Below are 17256 nucleotides of genomic sequence, written 5' to 3' on the forward strand. Positions count from 1 at the left end.
GCCTCCTGGATTCAAGCGATTCTCCTGCCTCAGCCTCCCGAGTAGCTGGGATTACAGGCCCCCACCACCATGCCTGGCTAATTTTTGTATTTTTAGTAGAGACAGGGTTTCACCATGTTGGCCAGGCTGATCTTGAACTTCTGACCACAAGTGATCCTCCCACCTTGGTCTCCCAAAGTGCTGGAATTACAGGCATGAGCCACTGTGCCTGGCCTAAAGAAAATATTAAGAAATGTTTAGGACAGAAGGAACACAGCTGATGAAAAATTGAGAAGATGGCATGTTGGCATGTGTAGTGCACACCTACCTAAAGTTTGGGAAAAGTTGGTAGAAGGGAAGAGGGTGTGAATTTGAAGTCAGACTCAAATCTCTTTTCTACCACCTCCTAGCTGTATGGCCGAGGGGTATCTTAACCTCTCTGAGCTTGGTGTGCTTATCTGCTGAATGAAGATTGTAATAATAAGCATTACCTCGCACTACTGTTTTGAGAGTTAACCAAGGCAATGCAGGCCCAATAAAGACTTTACAAATGGTTATGCATCATTGTTATTATTATTTTATCTTTTTTTTTCTTTTTTGAGACAGGGTCTCACCTCAGTTGCCCTGGCTGGAGTGCAGCAGTGTGATCTCAGCTCACTGTAACCTCAACCTTGCAGGCTCAGGTGATTCTCCTACCTCAGCCTCCGAAGTAGCTGGGACTATAGACACATATCACCACACCTGGCTAATTTTTTGTATTTTTTAGTAGAAACGGGGTTTCACCATGTTGCTAAGGCTGGTCTCGAACTCCTGGACTCAAGCAATCCACCTGCCTCGGCCTCCCAAAGTGCTGGGAATACAGGCATGAGCCACCGCACCTGGCCTGTATTATTTTTTATTATTTTTATGCATCAAGAGACTTAATCTATTGACTTCATATGCATCTATTTTTTGGCCTCTATGCCTTTGTCTTCCCATTTGTAAAAGAGTCTTCGTGGATGCCCTCCAAAGCTACATCCTGAGGCTGTGATTCTATTTTGCTGACACCCAGTTCCTCCCTGCCTTAATGGATTATCAGATTCAGCCAGGGACAATCAGATACTAGACTCCATTTAAAACAAAACTACAGAGAAGCAGAAAATGGACAGAAAATGGACAAAATTCTACAGTTTATCAACAGGCCCGATTAATATTCACCTGCCACGGCCGGGCGCAGTGCCTCACACCTGTAATCCCAGCACTTTGGGAGGCTGAGGCGGGTGGATCACTTGAGGTCAGGAGTTCAAGACTAGCCTGGCTAACATGGTGAAAACCCATCTCTACTAAAAATACAAAAATTACCCAGGCAAGTATGTCTCATGCAATATTTGGGACATACTTATACTAAAAAATTATTTGTTGTTTATCTGAAGTTCAAATTTAACTGGTTGTCCTGTTCTGAGTCTTTGTTTGCTGAATCTGGCAACTCTACCCTGAGGGTCACAGAATTAGGTTACTATGTTTCTCCTCAAATTCACAAACTACTGGATCTAAAATCAGAGGCAAATCCAGGTTCTGATGGGTATGAAGATTCGAGATGACTCTTTAAGACTAAGAACGCAAAATTACAAATTACAAATGCTAAATTAGCTATGAACATGAATATTTATTCCGAACGAGAAAATGCATTATTTTTGCAAGTTTTATAGAAATATATGATCCCTGCTGTAAGTTCACTTCCACTTCTTCTTCTTTTTTTTTTTTTTTTTTTGTGTGTTTGAGACAGGGTCTCACTCTGTCTCCCAGGCTGGCATGCAGTGGTGCAATCTCAGCTCACTGCAGCCTCTGCCTCCCAGGCTCAAGTGATCCCCCTGCCTCAGCCTCCCGAGTAGCTGAGACTACAGGTGTCCGCCACCATGCCTGGCTAATTTTTGTATTTTTTGTAGAGATGGGGTCTCTCCATGTTACCCAGGCTGGTCTCGAACTCCCGAGCTCAACTGACCCGCCCACCTCAGCCTCCCAAAGTGCTAGGATTACAGGCGTGAGCCAGTGCGCCCAGCCGATAAGTCCACTTCTGACTAAAATACTGAACAACTCTCCATGGGAATCATCTGGAAATGATGATGCCAAAAAGTGCCTGTGGGAAAACTATCCATGAAAATCAAACACAATCCAAGAAAGAAGAAAAGAGCCAAGCCCCAGCCTCAAAACCATCCTCCCAAATATGTTTTTAAATCATTATTTTCAAAAGTTGAAATCTTACTTTTTCGTAACAGAGCCATGTGTATTCACGCGGATAAGAACTGTAACCTGTGGATTAAAGGAAAAAAAATCTGTTTAAAGGAGAATCAACTTAAAACTCATCAACAAGTGTTAAGGACTATGCCTTCCCTGAAAGACTGATATATCGTGAAGTGTGTGATCATTTTTTACTGCTCCAAATCTAAAATTTTGGAAACAAAATAAATACTAGCCCATGTCTTCAAAAGCAATGCCTCTGGTTGAACAAACCTTACTAAGGGTCCTCAAAAGCTAATCTTTTGTCTTCAGAAGTTCTTTCTTTCTTTTTTGGTGATAGAGTCTCGCTCCATCACCCAGGCTGGAATGCAGTGGTGCGATCTTGGCTCACTGCAATCTCCCCCTCCCAGGTTCAAGCGATCTTCCTTCCTCAGCCTCCCAAGTAGCTGGACCTACAGGCATGCACCACCACACCCAGCTAAATTTTTTTTGTTTTTAGTAGAGATGGGGTTTTGCCATGTTGCCCAGGCTGGTCTCGAACTCCTAGCCTCAAGCAATCCATCCATCTTAGCCTCCCAAAGTGCTGGGATTATAGATGTGAGCCACAGTGCCCAGCCCAGAATTTTTTTTAACCTCTTGTAAAAAGAGCTCTGTCAGCCTTCTGGGTCAGCAGAGCAGATGGCAGAAACTGGAAGTATCACACTAGATCTCCCTGATCTAAAATATCAACCCTATGCCATCTTTCTACTATCATAACTTCGTTCCTCGATAAGGCAGATTTTACATCTTCAAGAATCCCTTGGAGGGGCATGCATTATACTCAATTCAATCATTCATTCAGTATTTACATATTGAGATCCTACTAAAAGCCCAGCACTGTGCCACTTCCCAGTGATGCACCGAAAAACAAAACAGTACTGGTCCCTATCCTCCTGAAGCTTTTGGTCCAGTGGGGGAAACAGATATTAAAATGTGACACATAAAAGTATTAGATTATGGTAAGTGCTATGAAGGAAGCAAAGGAGATGTTGGGATAAAGACGAACAAGGGTAGGGAGTGCATCAGGAGGAGAAATCAGGAAAAACTTCATTGAGGAGATGGCATTGGAGGGAAAGAAGAGCAAGAGCCAGTCAAGGGCAGAACATGCAGAGGAGCATCCCAGGCAGAGGGAACAGCAAGTGCAAAGGCCCTGGGGCTGGAAAGAGCTCTAAGTATTCTAGGAACTGCAAGAAACTCAAACTGGCTGGATCATAGTGGACCAAAGGAGAGACTGGATGGAAGAGGTCAGAGAGGTACCAAGGGGCCGGATACTACTGTGCCTGAAGAGGAGTTTGGATTTTATTTTAAGTGCATTAAACCCCCTCCATCAGTGTTTAACTTTGTTAAAGCCCTAAAGCACTGTTTTTCAAACATTCCCAAGGGAATTCTGATGGTAAAGGAGAGTGAATACTCAACATTGCTCACAATGAGCTCAAAGTATCTTTCATGTTTTTTGTTTTACCTTCAAATTCATGGGAACTGTGCAAGAATGTAGTGGAAAGGAATCACTCCTTTAACTGCTGGCAGAGTTCCCCCCTCAGGGAGAAAGCTATCTGTTATGAAAGCAAGGTCTTCTGTGCCTAGGTGGGATGGCTAGGTGAGAGCAGGGAAAAGCTAACCTGGTCTGAATAAGGGATGAACCGAATCCTAAGGTTCGGCCACAGCCCAAGAAAAAATGTTATTAGAGGAAAAGGAAAAGTCCAAGTCACTTACCCTGGAGAACTTCCTTTCCTATGGCAGGCCCAGGGACTATTCAAGAACAGATGTCCAATACTCAGCTCACAATCTTCTTCCACGCTCTGCACCTTCTAACCTCAGCCCACCTCCACGCTGCTCTTCCCACAGGACCTAAAGTGACATTTTAAGTGTTTTACTGGGCGTGGTGGCTCACTTTTGGAGGCCGAGGTGGGCAGATGCTTGAGCCCAGGAGTTGGAGACAAGCCTGGGCAACATTATAAGACCCCCCCTGCAACAATCTCTACAAAAAAATACAAAAATTAGCAGGCATCATGGTGCATGCCTGTAGTCCCAGCTACTCGGGAGGTTGAGGAAGGAGGATCACTTGAGCCCAGGAGGTTGAGGCTGCAGTGAGCCATGGCTGCTGCACTCCAGCTGGGAGACAGAGCAAAACCCTGTTTTAAAAAAGAAAAAGAAAGAAGACAGAGAAGAAAGAAAAGAAAAGAAAGAGAGAAAGGAAGGAAGGAGAAGGAGAAGGAGAAGAAGAAAGAAGAAGAAGAAGAAGAAGAAGAAGAAGAAGAAGAAGAAGAAGAAGAAGAAGAAGAAGAAGAAGAAGAAGAAGAAGAAGAAGAAGAGGAAGAAGAGGAAGAGGAAGAGGAAGAGGAAGAAGAAGAAGAAGAAGAAGAAGAAGAAGAAGAAGAAAAAGAAGAAGAAGAAGAAGAAGAAGAAGAAGAAGGGAAAGAAAGAAAGAAAGAAAAAAAAAGAAAGAAAGAAAGAAGAAAAGAAAAGAAAAAAAGAAAAACTGCTCCTTTCAGAAGAGCTGCCATATTTGTCGTGTGTCTTTTTGTAGCCCCAAGTCACAGCAATAATATTCCAGGGGATGGTCACTGTGGGATGAGAAAGTTTATCTCATCCCACAGTAGGATGTTTATCTGGTCCCAGATAAATATCAGGAGAGGGCAGGCTTTCAGAGTGACTGCAAGGAGAAGGGAACACAAATGGAAAGAAAGAGATCCCTGGAAGAAAGGCTGGAGGACTGTCAGGGACAGATTTGCGATGAGATATGCCTGTTTCACATTGTTATACACGATTAAAGTAATTAAAATACACACCTCTACCCAACTTCAAGTAACCCAATATTAAAAGGCCTTTTTGTCTCTGTGTTGAAGATTACAGAAAATATAGAGGTCAGCTGGTAGAAAAAGGGAGATTTTTTTCAGTTGATAGTCTTACAGGACTTATATTGAACATATTTAATAACTCATATGGCCCTTGGCACTGATCAATCAAAATGGGTACCAGCTATAAATGGCTGGCACAGCCCCACACGAGTGTTCTGACTAATAAATAGCAGCTTTGGCATCTACAGAATGTCAAATCATACTAATGTATTATCTATTCATATATATAAGTAAGCACAGGAGATTCTACACACACACACACACACACATGCACACACACACACACATGCACACACACACACGATGCATTATATTTTGCTAAGCAGCAAGAACTATAACTGTCACATCATCAACCATTCTCATGTTCTATCAGGCCAACTTTTTACATAAAGTCCTTTGCATAAGAAAAATGCAGGGCAAATTCTAAGAGGCATATTAACTAGATGTATTCCAAGAACAACTTCTTTTAACAAAAGAGACCAGCTGCTGCTTCAGAGCATAAAGAATTGGCCCATGAGAACTATTTTTCTGCCAAGGTATTTGATACATGTTGACAAGCAAATTTTTTTCCAGTCTTCTGGATTTACACGTATTTCCTACTGTGAGTTTCTTTCTTGATGTTCTTAAAAATTGCTATGCATCAGGGGGAGGGAGAGCATCAGGATAAATAGCTAATGCACGTGGGGCTTAATACCTAGGTGATGGGTTGATAGATGCAGCAAACCACCATGGCACACACTTAACTATGTAACAAACCTGCACATTCTGCACATGTATCCCAAAACTTAAAATAAAATAAAATTTTAAAAAATTGCTATGCATACTATTTCTTTTTTATTAGGTAGTATTTTCTAAATTCTTTAGACTGCATTGAAGAATCAGAAAGAGTGCTTCACCCAGGGGAACACAAATGGTTCTGTATAATAAACATTCAGTATGTCTGTTTTCATTTTAAATAGGCTTCTTTTCCATGACACATTTACTAAAGGAATATTACCATGTCAGCTTCAAAATTTGACAAGCTGATTTTTAAGTTTTTAAAAATTTACATACATTAGAATTTCCTTTTTTTTCTATAGTTCTATGGACTTTTACACATGCATAGATTCTTGTAACGACCACCACAAATGGGGTAGAGAACAATGCCAACACTCAAAGAATTCCCTTGCACCGCCACTTTGTAGTCAGGCCCTGCCCAACACCCAGCCCTTGGCAACCACTGATAGGTTCTCTGTCTCTGTAGTTTTGTCTTTTCCAGAATGTCATATAAATGGAATCCTACAGGATGTAATATTTTGCGAGACTTTCTTCTTTCAATTAGCATAATGTTTTTGAGATTCATACTAGCTATTGCCTTTACCAATAGTTTGTACCTTTTTATTGCTGAATGGTATTCCGTTGAATGGATATACCACAGTTTATCCATTCACCCACTGAAGGACATTTGGGTTGTTTCCATTGTTTTGTGATTATGAATAATACTTCTGTAAACACTTGTTTACAGGTTTTTGTGTGAATAGAGGGTAACTACCTAGAAGTGGTATTGCTGGGTCTTTTGGGTAGATATATATTTAACTCTATAAGAAATTGCCAATCTAGGCTGGCTGCCGTGGCTCATGCCTATAATCCCTGCACTTTGGGAAGCCAAGATGGGAGGACCACTTGAGCTCAGGAGTTCGAGACCAGCCCTGGCAACATAGTGAGACCCCTGTCTGTATGAAAGCAAAACAAAACAAACAAAAAAACCCTCAAAAAACAAATGTGGGGAGTTAGAGAAAAAAATTTAGCCAGACATGGTGGTGGGCACCTGTGGTCCCAGCTATTCAGGAGGCTGAGGTGGGAGGATTGTTTGAGCCTGGAGGTCGAGGCTGCAGTGAGCCATGGTCGCACCACTGCACTCCAGCCCCGGTGACAGAGAGAGACCTTGTCTGAAAAAAAAGGAAAAGAAAAAGAAAGAAACTGACAATCTTTTTTCCTGAGTGGAAACATTTTCATTTTGTATTCCCACTAGCATGGTGAGAAAGTTCCAGTTGCTCTGTGTTCTTGTCAGCACTTGGTATTGCCGGTATTTTTTTTATTTTAGCTGTTATAATGGGTGAATTGCATTGTGATTTTAATTTGCATTTCCCTAATGATTACTCACGTTGAGCATCTTTTTGTGTGTTTATTTACCATCCACATGTGGCGAAATGTCTGTTTAAATCTTTTGTGCATTTTTATAGAATTATTTTCTTATTTTTGAGTTTTGGGAGTTGTTTATATATTCCGCATACAAGTCCTGTGTTAGGCCTCAGTGCTGTGGCTCATGCCTGTAATCCCAGCACTTTGAGAGGTTGAGGCTGGCAGATCACTTGATGTCAGGAGTGTAAGACCAGCCTGGCCAACATGGTGAAACCCTTTCTCTACTAAAACACAAAAATTAACCAGGCGTGGTGGTGCAGGTCTGCAATCCCAGCTACTCGGGAGGCTGAGGCAGGAGAATTGCCTGAACCTGGGAGGTGGAGGTTGCAGTGAGCCGAGATTGTGCCACTGCACTCCAGCCTAGACAACAGAGTGAGACTTTGTCAAAAAAAAAAAAAAAAAAAAAAGCCCTGTGTTACGCGATTTGCAAATACTTTCCCCTGGTATGTGACTTGTCTTTTCAGTCTCTTAACAATAAATTTTGCAGAGCAAAAGTATTTAATTTTGATGATGTCAAATTCATTTTATTTTTTTCTTTTTTTTTGAAACAGGGTTTTACTCCATCACCCAGGCTCAAGTACAGTGGTATAATCTTGGCCCACTGCAACCTCCACCTCCCAGGCTCAAACGATTCTCCTACCTCAGCCTCCCAAGCAGCTGGGACTACAGGTGCACACCACTGCACCTGGCTAATTTTTGTATTTTTTGTAGAGATGGGGTTTTGCCATGTTGCCCAGGCTGGTCTTGAACTCCTGAGCTCAAGTGATCTGCCTGCCTTGACTTCTCAAAGTGCTGGGATTACAGGCATCAGCCACCACACCTGGCCTTTTTTTCTTTTATAGATCATGCTTTTGGTATCATATCTAATAAATTTTGGCCTAACCTAAGGTCATGATGACTTTCTCCTATGTTTTCTGGGAGAATTTTATAGTTTTGGACTTAATATTTACATTCAGAGTTAATTTTTGTATATATCATGAAATGTAGATTAAACTTAATCTTTTAGCATATGGTTATCCAGTTGTTCCAAGACCATTTGTTGAGAAAGCCATTTGTTGAGACCATTTGTTATTCCTTCTGTGGAACTGATTTTTTTCTTTAATATTTTGTTCCAATTTCAGGGTATTCAAAGGGGACTTCAAATCTGGCAAGGAGTTTGAACCTAGAGGATGACATGTGTCCCAAAGAAGGGAGCAAGTGATCCACACAGGTTTTTTATTATCTCCTATACTTTCTACAGGAAGAATTACAGATATGATTAGTCATCAGTGACTAAAAAGTGAGCTACATCATCAAATAAAGATTCAATAATGTGGCCAGGTATGGTGGCTCACAACTGTAATTCCAGCACTTTGGGAGGCTGAGGCTGGCGGATCACTTCAGGCCAGGAATGCAAGACCAGCCTGGACAATATGGTGAAACCCCATCTCTACTAAAAATTCAAAAATTGGCTGGACGTGGTGGGCCACACCTGTAATCTCAGCTACTCGGGAGGCTGAGGCACAAGAATCACTTGAACCTGCGAGAAGGGGGTTGCAGTGAGCCGAGATCACACCACTGCCCTCCAGCTTGGGCGACAGAGCAAGACTCTGTCTCAAAAAAAAAAAAAAAAAATTCAATAATGTTCTCAGAGTACTATCAGGACCAAGCAGGCAAGAAAAGGGTTGATCTACCATGAAAAACTTTCAACCAAACATTTCCCCAAATTCTAATTCGATCTTTGCTTTATATTCTGGAGTATTTTATTTGTGCTCTGAAATCAAGAAGGCTAAGACACCCTCCCTCTATTCTCGAAATATACCTGTTAAGACTTTGTTTCCCGGTTTTCCCAATTTACAATGTATCTATCTATATGCTTAATACAATACCTTGGATATTCATTAGGAGAAGTGGTAGGCATTAAGCAAAGCATAGGATAGGACAGGTTTGATGAAAAAATAAAATTTAACCATTAGATAAGGATTTTAGATGACAACATTCATTTTACTGTAAAATCTAAAGTTAAATATTGTCACATTTTTATGGTCATTCACTTGTTTGTGACATTTTGCCAATTACCCCAGGAGTTGGCAACTGACTTCCTCTATCTCACACAAAAAAAGTTAATTTGCCATGAAAAACAATTTGTCTTGAAAACTCAAAGTTTGTTTTAAAATTAAGTTGATCCTTCTTAACTATGGTCTTTAAAAGGAACTTCTGAACTTGACATTTGACGGGAGGCTGCAGACTGCAAACCAGGAATAATAACCTTTAGAAACTAACAACATGACAGAGATAGCCCGAGGAGGTAATTGAGAAAGGAAGGATATCATAGGTCCCCACAGTTTCATGAACCAAAGTGTTATGAGAATTTGCTGGCAGTCATCTAGGAAAACTCTTCAACAGAGATTTGATTCAACTCTTTAATTCACTGTAAACAACCAGCTACAATGTTCCTTTTATTTTCCCGGGCTATAGACTGAACACCCAAGAGCTTTGAGTGCATGGCAATGACCCTTCTCCTCTTCCCCTTTTGCACCTGGAAAAGAAATGGGTCAAAACAGCACACTACTTAGGATTTTTCTGAGATAGGGTTTCAGGTACCTTTTATCCATTTAGGATTTTAGGTGATATGTATGCATCTAACTTTCGGGGATGATGGAAGCCTAGAATGGTCTTTGGCCATGTGGCTCCTCCTCCCACTCCATGAAAGAAGCCATCTGGTATCACAGGAGAGAACGGGGCAAAGACCAGAAGGAAGCTGAGCTCTAAGTCCCTCAGGCCATCCACTTCCTGGACATCCTAGTTATGAAAACCAGTAACTTCACAATTTTTCCTTAAACTGTTTTGAAATGAGGTTCAGTTTCTTACAAACAAAAGTCTTTACAAATAAATTTGCTGTGGCCAGAATGGTGTGTGAATATGGGGAGCAGTTTGTAGGGGTCAGATAATAATCATAGCTATCATTTATTGCGAATTTAATTTGCACGCAGCTCCAGGCTATTTAGGTACATTATCTCCTTTAATTCTAACACCTTTCAAGTGGATGTATTACTATCTCCATTTTTCAAATGAGGACATTGTGGCTCGGAGAGGTTCAGTAACTTGCTCAAAATCATAAATCTTGTAAATGATGGGGCTGGGATTAAAAATTAGAGCTCTCTGACTTCAAAGCCCTTAACCACAAAGTGCTGAGCTCTCAAAGGGCCCTTGCGGCTACACCAGAGGTTAGGAGAATTGGGGTCCAGATAACAGATTTCACCGTGTGTTGATGAAGCTTTACAGCTCACAGGCAATGCTGGTCAGCTCTTTCCTGAGTGCTCGGTTACTGTAACTATGAGACCACTCCAGAGGCAGAGGAATAGTAAATGCTGATTCATCTGAACAGGGGGTTCATCTTTCCCCGTCCAGTGTGTTGCCAACTCTGAAATCTCTTTAAGATGAAACAAGAAGCTTTAGGATGCAGATAATCGCATGCCAATTGCAAGGCACAGCAGTAATGAGCCAAGAAGGTAAGTTCCCGAAGCTGATTATTGTAGGAAACCTTAAGCCATATGGCAGGAGTGGTGTCCTTGAGAAGCATGCAGTTTCAACAGAAAGTTTGCTTTAAAAAATGATGTGTGTGTGTGCATGTGCGTGTGTGTGTGTGTATAATTGCATAAAGATTTGGCATGCCTGAATTTCATCCTATCCTTCCTTTTTACAATTTCATCTCATCTCTGATGGTGGCACTTCCTGGGTTTCAAAAAACAAAAAAATCCCAAGTGGACAAGACACAGTTTCTGACTGAGGGCACTAAAGTCAAGTGGAAAATCATGTGGAAATCCTTTTCCAGTACAATTAGTGTATTAAACTGTGGGCCTTGGAGTCAGACCACCTGGGTTCAAATCCTAGCTGCACAATGTATAAGAACCATATAAGAACCCCTTCCCTTGGAAACTTAAGATTCCTCACTTATAAAATGTCTGTAATACCATTTTACAATCAACATGTTAATAAGTAATTCAGGCAAAAAACCTCAATGAATGCTAAAGTGATAGGGGGTAAAATGTTGTTGGGGTACAGAAAATTCACATTCTCAAAGTAATCACACTTAAGATCAACAAAATGAAACAAATTGAAATCCTGTGCCTTGAGGTGTGACAAATATCAATATGTTCCTGCCAGTGATATTTAACCTGATTCTATCATGGATAACGTCATGGTCAAATCCAAATCATGGATCATTCTGAAGACGAACTGCCCTGGTCTCTTCAAATATGTCAATATCATGAAAGGAAAAAAAAAAACCACGTTGGGAACTCTATAAGCTTGATAATGTAACAATGAAATGGAAAGTGTGAACCTTGGCTGGGCTCAGTGGCTCACGCCTGTAATCCCAGCACTTTGGGAGGCTGAGGCAGGTGGATCATGAGGTCAAGAGATCGAGACCATCCTGGCCAACATAGTGAAACACCATCTCTACTAAAAACACAAAAATTAGCTGGGCATGGTGGCGTGCACCTGTAGTCCCAGCTACTTCGGAGGCTGAGGCAGGAGAATCGCTTGAACCTGGAAGGCTGAGGTTGCAGTGAGCCGAGATTGCACCACTGTACTCCAGCCTGGTGACAGAGTGAGACTCCATCTCAAAAAAAAAAGTGTAAACCTTGACTGCATCCTGAACCAAATGTTTAAAAAGAGCTACAAAGTTTATTTTTGGGAAATTGGGGAAATATTATGGCATTAATGTTAAATTTCCTGAGAGAATAAATGTGGTATGGTTATGTAGGAGTATATCATTGATAGTAGGAGACACATACATTAATTTAGGGGTGAAAGGTCAAGAGGTTCAGGGTTGTTTGTGTGTAGAAAGAGAGAGAGTGAGAGGTACTGAGACAATGCTAATGTGGCTAAATTGGTTGAGCCATTATACTCTTCTTGCAACTTTTCTATAAATTAAAACAATTTCTAAATAAAAAGTTGAGGAAATGAAGGTAATATAAGGCTTTATGAGGATTAAATGCAGTAATACATTTACATGCATTAAGTACTTACAACAGTACTTGGCAAACAGTTGGAACCCCACTTATACAAGCCATTATGATCGTGTGATTCTAGGGAAATAACTCCATCTCTCTCCGTCTCAGTTTCCTCATTATTATGACTGAAGCAGACAATTCTATTAGATCTAACATTCTAGAACTTTATATAGTTATGCCCTCAAAAAAGTGATGGGGGTTGAAAGAATCAACATTGTCAAAATGTCTATAACACCCAAAGCAATCTACAGATTTAATGTAGTCCCTTTCAAAATTCCAATGACATTTTTCACAAAAATAGAAAAAAAAAATCCTAAAATGCATATGGAACCGCAAAAGCCCCCAAATAACTGAAGCAATTTTGAGCAGGAACAAAACTGAAGGCATCACATTTCCTAATTTTAAATTATATTTACAAAGTTATAGTAATCCAAAAAGTATGGTACTGACATAAAAACAGACACATAGATCAATGGAACATAGACCAATGGGACAGAATAGAGGGCCCAGAAATAAATCCACGCATATATGGTCAACTATTCTTCCATAAGGCACAAAGAATACACAATGGGGAAAGGATAGTCTCTTTAGTAAGTGGTGCTGGGAAAACTGGATATTAACAACAAAAAAATTGGATCTTTATCATACACAAAACCAGCTCAAAATGAATTACATATTAAATAAGTAATTATTCATTTTTATTATTTATTAATTTAATAATAACATAATTAAATGTGTAAGATGTGAAACTGTAAAACTAGAAGAAAACAGGGGGAAAGCTCTGTGGCATTGGTCTTGGCAATGATTTTTTGAATATGACACCAAAAGCACAGTTAACAAAAACAAAAACAAACAAGTGGGACTACATCAAACTAAAAAGTTTCTGCACTGCAAAGGAGCAATCAATAAAATAAAAAAGCAACCTGTGGAATGGGAGCGATTATTTACAAACCATATACCTGATAAGAAGTTAATATCCAAAATATATAAGAAACTCATACAACTCAATAGCAAAAAAACAAATAACTTGATTTAAAAATAGGCAAAGGACTCCGGAATCTGCTAATCCCAGTCGGTGCCGCATCCCCAGCCCGCCGCCATGGCCGCCTACAAACTGGTGCTGATCCGGCACGGCGAGAGCGCATGGAACCTGGAGAACCGCTTCAGCGGCTGGTACGACGCCGACCTGAGCCCGGCGGGCCACGAGGAGGCGAAGCGCGGCGGGCAGGCGCTACGAGATGCTGGCTATGAGTTTGACATCTGCTTCACCTCAGTGCAGAAGAGAGCGATCCGGACCCTCTGGACAGTGCTAGATGCCATTGATCAGATGTGGCTGCCAGTGGTGAGGACTTGGCGCCTCAATGAGCGGCACTATGGGGGTCTAACCGGTCTCAATAAAGCAGAAACTGCTGCAAAGCATTGTGAGGCCCAGGTGAAGATCTGGAGGCGCTCCTATGATGTCCCACCACCTCCGATGGAGCCCGACCATCCTTTCTACAGCAACATCAGTAAGGATCGCAGGTATGCAGACCTCACAGAAGATCAGCTACCCTCCTGTGAGAGTCTGAAGGATACTATTGCCAGAGCTCTGCCCTTCTGGAATGAAGAAATAGTTCCCCAGATCAAGGAGGGGAAACGTGTACTGATTGCAGCCCATGGCAACAGCCTCCGGGGCATTGTCAAGCATCTGGAGGGTCTCTCTGAAGAGGCTATCATGGAGCTGAACCTGCCGACTGGTATTCCCATTGTCTATGAATTGGACAAGAACTTGAAGCCTATCAAGCCCATGCAGTTTCTGGGGGATGAGGAGACGGTGCGCAAAGCCATGGAAGCTGTGGCTGCCCAGGGCAAGGCCAAGAAGTGAAGGCCGGCGGGGAAGATACTGTCCCCAGGAGCACCCTCCCTGCCCATCTTGTCCCTCTGCCCCTCCCACCTGCACATGTCACACTGACCACATCTGTAGACATCTTGAGTTGTAGCTGCAGATGGGGACCAGTGGCTCCCATTTTCATTTTAGCCATTTTGTCGCCTGCACCCACTCCCTTCATACAATCTAGTCAGAATAGCAGTTCTAGAGCACAGGTTCTCAGTCTAAGCTATGGAAAAGCTCCCCTTATCCAACAGAGTTTAAAAGTAGTGACTTGGGTTTTTGCGAGTGCTTTGTTTACTAAGGACTTTGGGGAGGAACCATGCTAAGCCATGACCAGTGAGGAGAAGCAACAGAGCCTGTCTGTCCCCATGAGCGGAGTCTGTCCTCTGCTCTTCTGCAGTCAGGTCACTGCCTACTGCCTGGGGGCTCTAGTCATTCCAGTGGAAGACGAATGTAACCTGCGTGGTGATGTGACAACTGTTTCCTCCCTGACCCCAGAGGATCTGGCTCTAGGTTGGGATCAATCCTGAATTTCGTTATGTGTTAATTTACTTTTATTAAAAAAGTATAGTATATATAAATAATACAAAACAATAACCCTTCTGGGGTTTCTTGTGGCGGTTGAAATAGTCCCACATGTGGTCATCAGAAAATAAGCCATTCCTCATACCAATATAGGATCAGCTCCTTGACCTCTGAGGGGCAGGAGTGCTTCCTGGTTTGTGTATTAGAATCCCTTCCTGCCTTGTTTCATGGCAGTGAAATGCCTCTTGGTCCTGTCCAAGTGTATCTTTCACTGATTTCTGAATCATGTTCTAGTTGCTTGACCCTGCCACATGGGTCCAGTGTTCATCTGAGCATAACTGTACTAAATCCTTTTTCCATATCAGTATAATAAAGGAGTGATGTGCAATAGCAAAAAAAAAAAAAAAAAAAAAAAAATAGGCAAAGGACCAGAATAGACATTTCTCTAAAGAAAGCACACAAATGGCCAAGAGGTATATGAAAAGATACTAAACATCACTAATAATCAGGGATATTCAAATCCAAACCACAATAGGATATCACTTCACATCTGTTAGAATGGCTATTATCAAAAAGTCAAAAGATAACAAGTGTTGGTGATGATGCAGAGAAAAGGGAACCCTTGTACATTGCTAGTGGGAATGTAATTTGGAACAGCCATTATGGAAAACAATATGGAGGTCTCTCAAAAAATTCAAAATAGAGCTACCATATGATGCAGCTATCCTACTTTAGGGTATATATCCAAAGGAAAGAAAATCAGTATCAAAGCTAGATCTACACTCTCAGGTTCATTGCAGCACTATTTTTTTTTTTTTTTGAGACAGTGATTCGTTATATCGTCACCTGGGCTGGAATGCAGTGGCACAATCTTGGCTCACTGCAACCTCCGCTTCCGGGGTTCAAGCGATTCTCCTGCCTCAGCCTCCCAAGTAGCTAGAAATACAGGTGCACATCACCATGCCCGGCTAATTTTTGTATATTTTTAGTAGAGACAGGGTTTCACCATGTTGGCCAGGCTGGTCTCCAACTCCTGACCTCAGGTGATCTGCCCACCTCAGCCTCCCAAAGTGCTGGGATTACAGGTGTGAGCCACCGCACCCAGCCCGCAGCACTATTCAGAATAGCCAAGATATGGAATTAACCTGTGTCCATAAATGGATGAGTGGATAAAGAAATGTGGTATATATATGAGTATGTGTGTGTATGTAGACATATATATGCACAAAATAAAATATTATTTCACCTTAGAAAAGAAGAAAATCATGCCATTTGTGACAATATGGGTGAGCCTGGAGGACATTATGCTAAGTGAAATAAGCCAGGTAAAGAAAAATGAATACAGCATGTTCACTTATATGAGAAATCTACAAAGTTGAACTTACAGAAACAGAGAGTAGAAGGGTGGTTACCAGGGACAGAGAGGTGGGGAAATGGGGAAATGTCGGTCAAAGGGTACAAGCTTGCCGTTATAAGATGAGCAAGTTCTGGAGACCTAATGCACAGCATGGTGACTGTTATTACTAATAATGTATTGTATACTTGAAATCTACTAAGAGGGTAGATCTTAAGAGTTCTCACTGCACATACGCAAAAGGCAACTACGTGAGGGTGATGGATTTGTTAATTAGCTTGATTGTGGTAATCATTTCACAATGTGTATATTAAAACATTGTACTCCTTGAAAATATATATATATGTGTGTGTGTGTGTATATATGTGTGTGTGTGTGTATATATATATATATATATGTATATATTTTTTTTCAGAGACAGGATTGTCACCCAGGCTGGAGTGTAGTAGTGCAATCATAGCTCATTGTAACCTTGAGCTCCTGGGTTCTATCAATCCTCCCACCTTGGTCTCCCAAAGCACTGAGATTACAGGCTTGAGCTACCAGGGTTGGCTGAATATATACATTTTTTATTTGTTAATTATACCTCAATAAAGCTGAAGAAAGCAAACAAAAAACTCTTATTTGAGAACTAATATTTGATAAAATGTTCTTATCAATAACTTTATGTCATTTTAATTATTCAGACAATATTTACAAGAACATGCTTACTTCCTTAAAAATTATGTATGCCTGGATTCCATTCCAAGATGGCTGAATAGGAACAGCTCTGGTCTGCAGCTCCCAGCGTGATTGATGCAGAAGATGGGTGATTTCTGCATTTCCAACTGAGGTACCTCGTTCATCTCATTGGGACTGGTTGGACAGTGGGTGCAGCCCACAGAGGGTGAGCCGAAGCAGGGCAGGGCATTGCCTCACCTGAGAAGCCCAAAGGGTCGGGGGATTTCCCTTTCCTAGCCAAGGGAAGCTGTGACAGACTTTACCTGGAAAAACGGGACACTCCCACCCAAATACTGCACTTTTCCAGTGGTCTTAGCAAACAGCACACCAGGAGATTACATCCTGTGCATGGCTTGGTGGGGCCCATGCCCATGGAGCCTTGCTCACTGCTAGCGCAGCAGTCTGAGATCGACCTGCGAGGCAGCAGCCTGGCAGGTGGAAGGGCGTCCACCATTGCTGAGGTTTGAGTGGGTAAACAAAGTGGGTGGGGAAGCTTGAACTGGGCAGAGCCCACCA

At 41.6% G+C, this 17256-nt stretch overlaps 1 protein-coding gene and 1 pseudogene across 18 annotated transcripts in view; one reads left to right on the top strand and one right to left on the bottom strand.

The window, feature by feature from the left end:
• Positions 1 to 17256, bottom strand: part of GLT8D2 (glycosyltransferase 8 domain containing 2) — a 75451-nt gene that overhangs the window by 28422 nt on the left and 29773 nt on the right. For 13 of the 18 annotated variants that reach the window (NM_001384713.1, NM_001384719.1, NM_001384718.1 and 10 more), the window contains 2 exons: positions 3949 to 4083; positions 2222 to 2268 (listed from right to left, as the gene is read on the bottom strand). In NM_001384713.1, the coding sequence (NP_001371642.1) occupies positions 2222 to 2240 (19 nt within the window). In that variant the 5' untranslated portion in view covers positions 2241 to 2268; positions 3949 to 4083. Of the gene's footprint in view, positions 1 to 2221; positions 2269 to 3948; positions 4084 to 12287; positions 12305 to 17256 lie in introns of those variants that run through there. The other 5 variants (NM_001316967.2, NM_001384716.1, XM_047429631.1 and 2 more) reach the window with 2 other exon arrangements.
• LOC643576 (phosphoglycerate mutase 1 (brain) pseudogene) lies at positions 13321 to 15058 on the top strand (annotated as a pseudogene).

This window comes from Homo sapiens, chromosome 12 (assembly GCF_000001405.40).
Source record: "Homo sapiens chromosome 12, GRCh38.p14 Primary Assembly".
Lineage (NCBI taxonomy): Eukaryota > Metazoa > Chordata > Mammalia > Primates > Hominidae > Homo > Homo sapiens.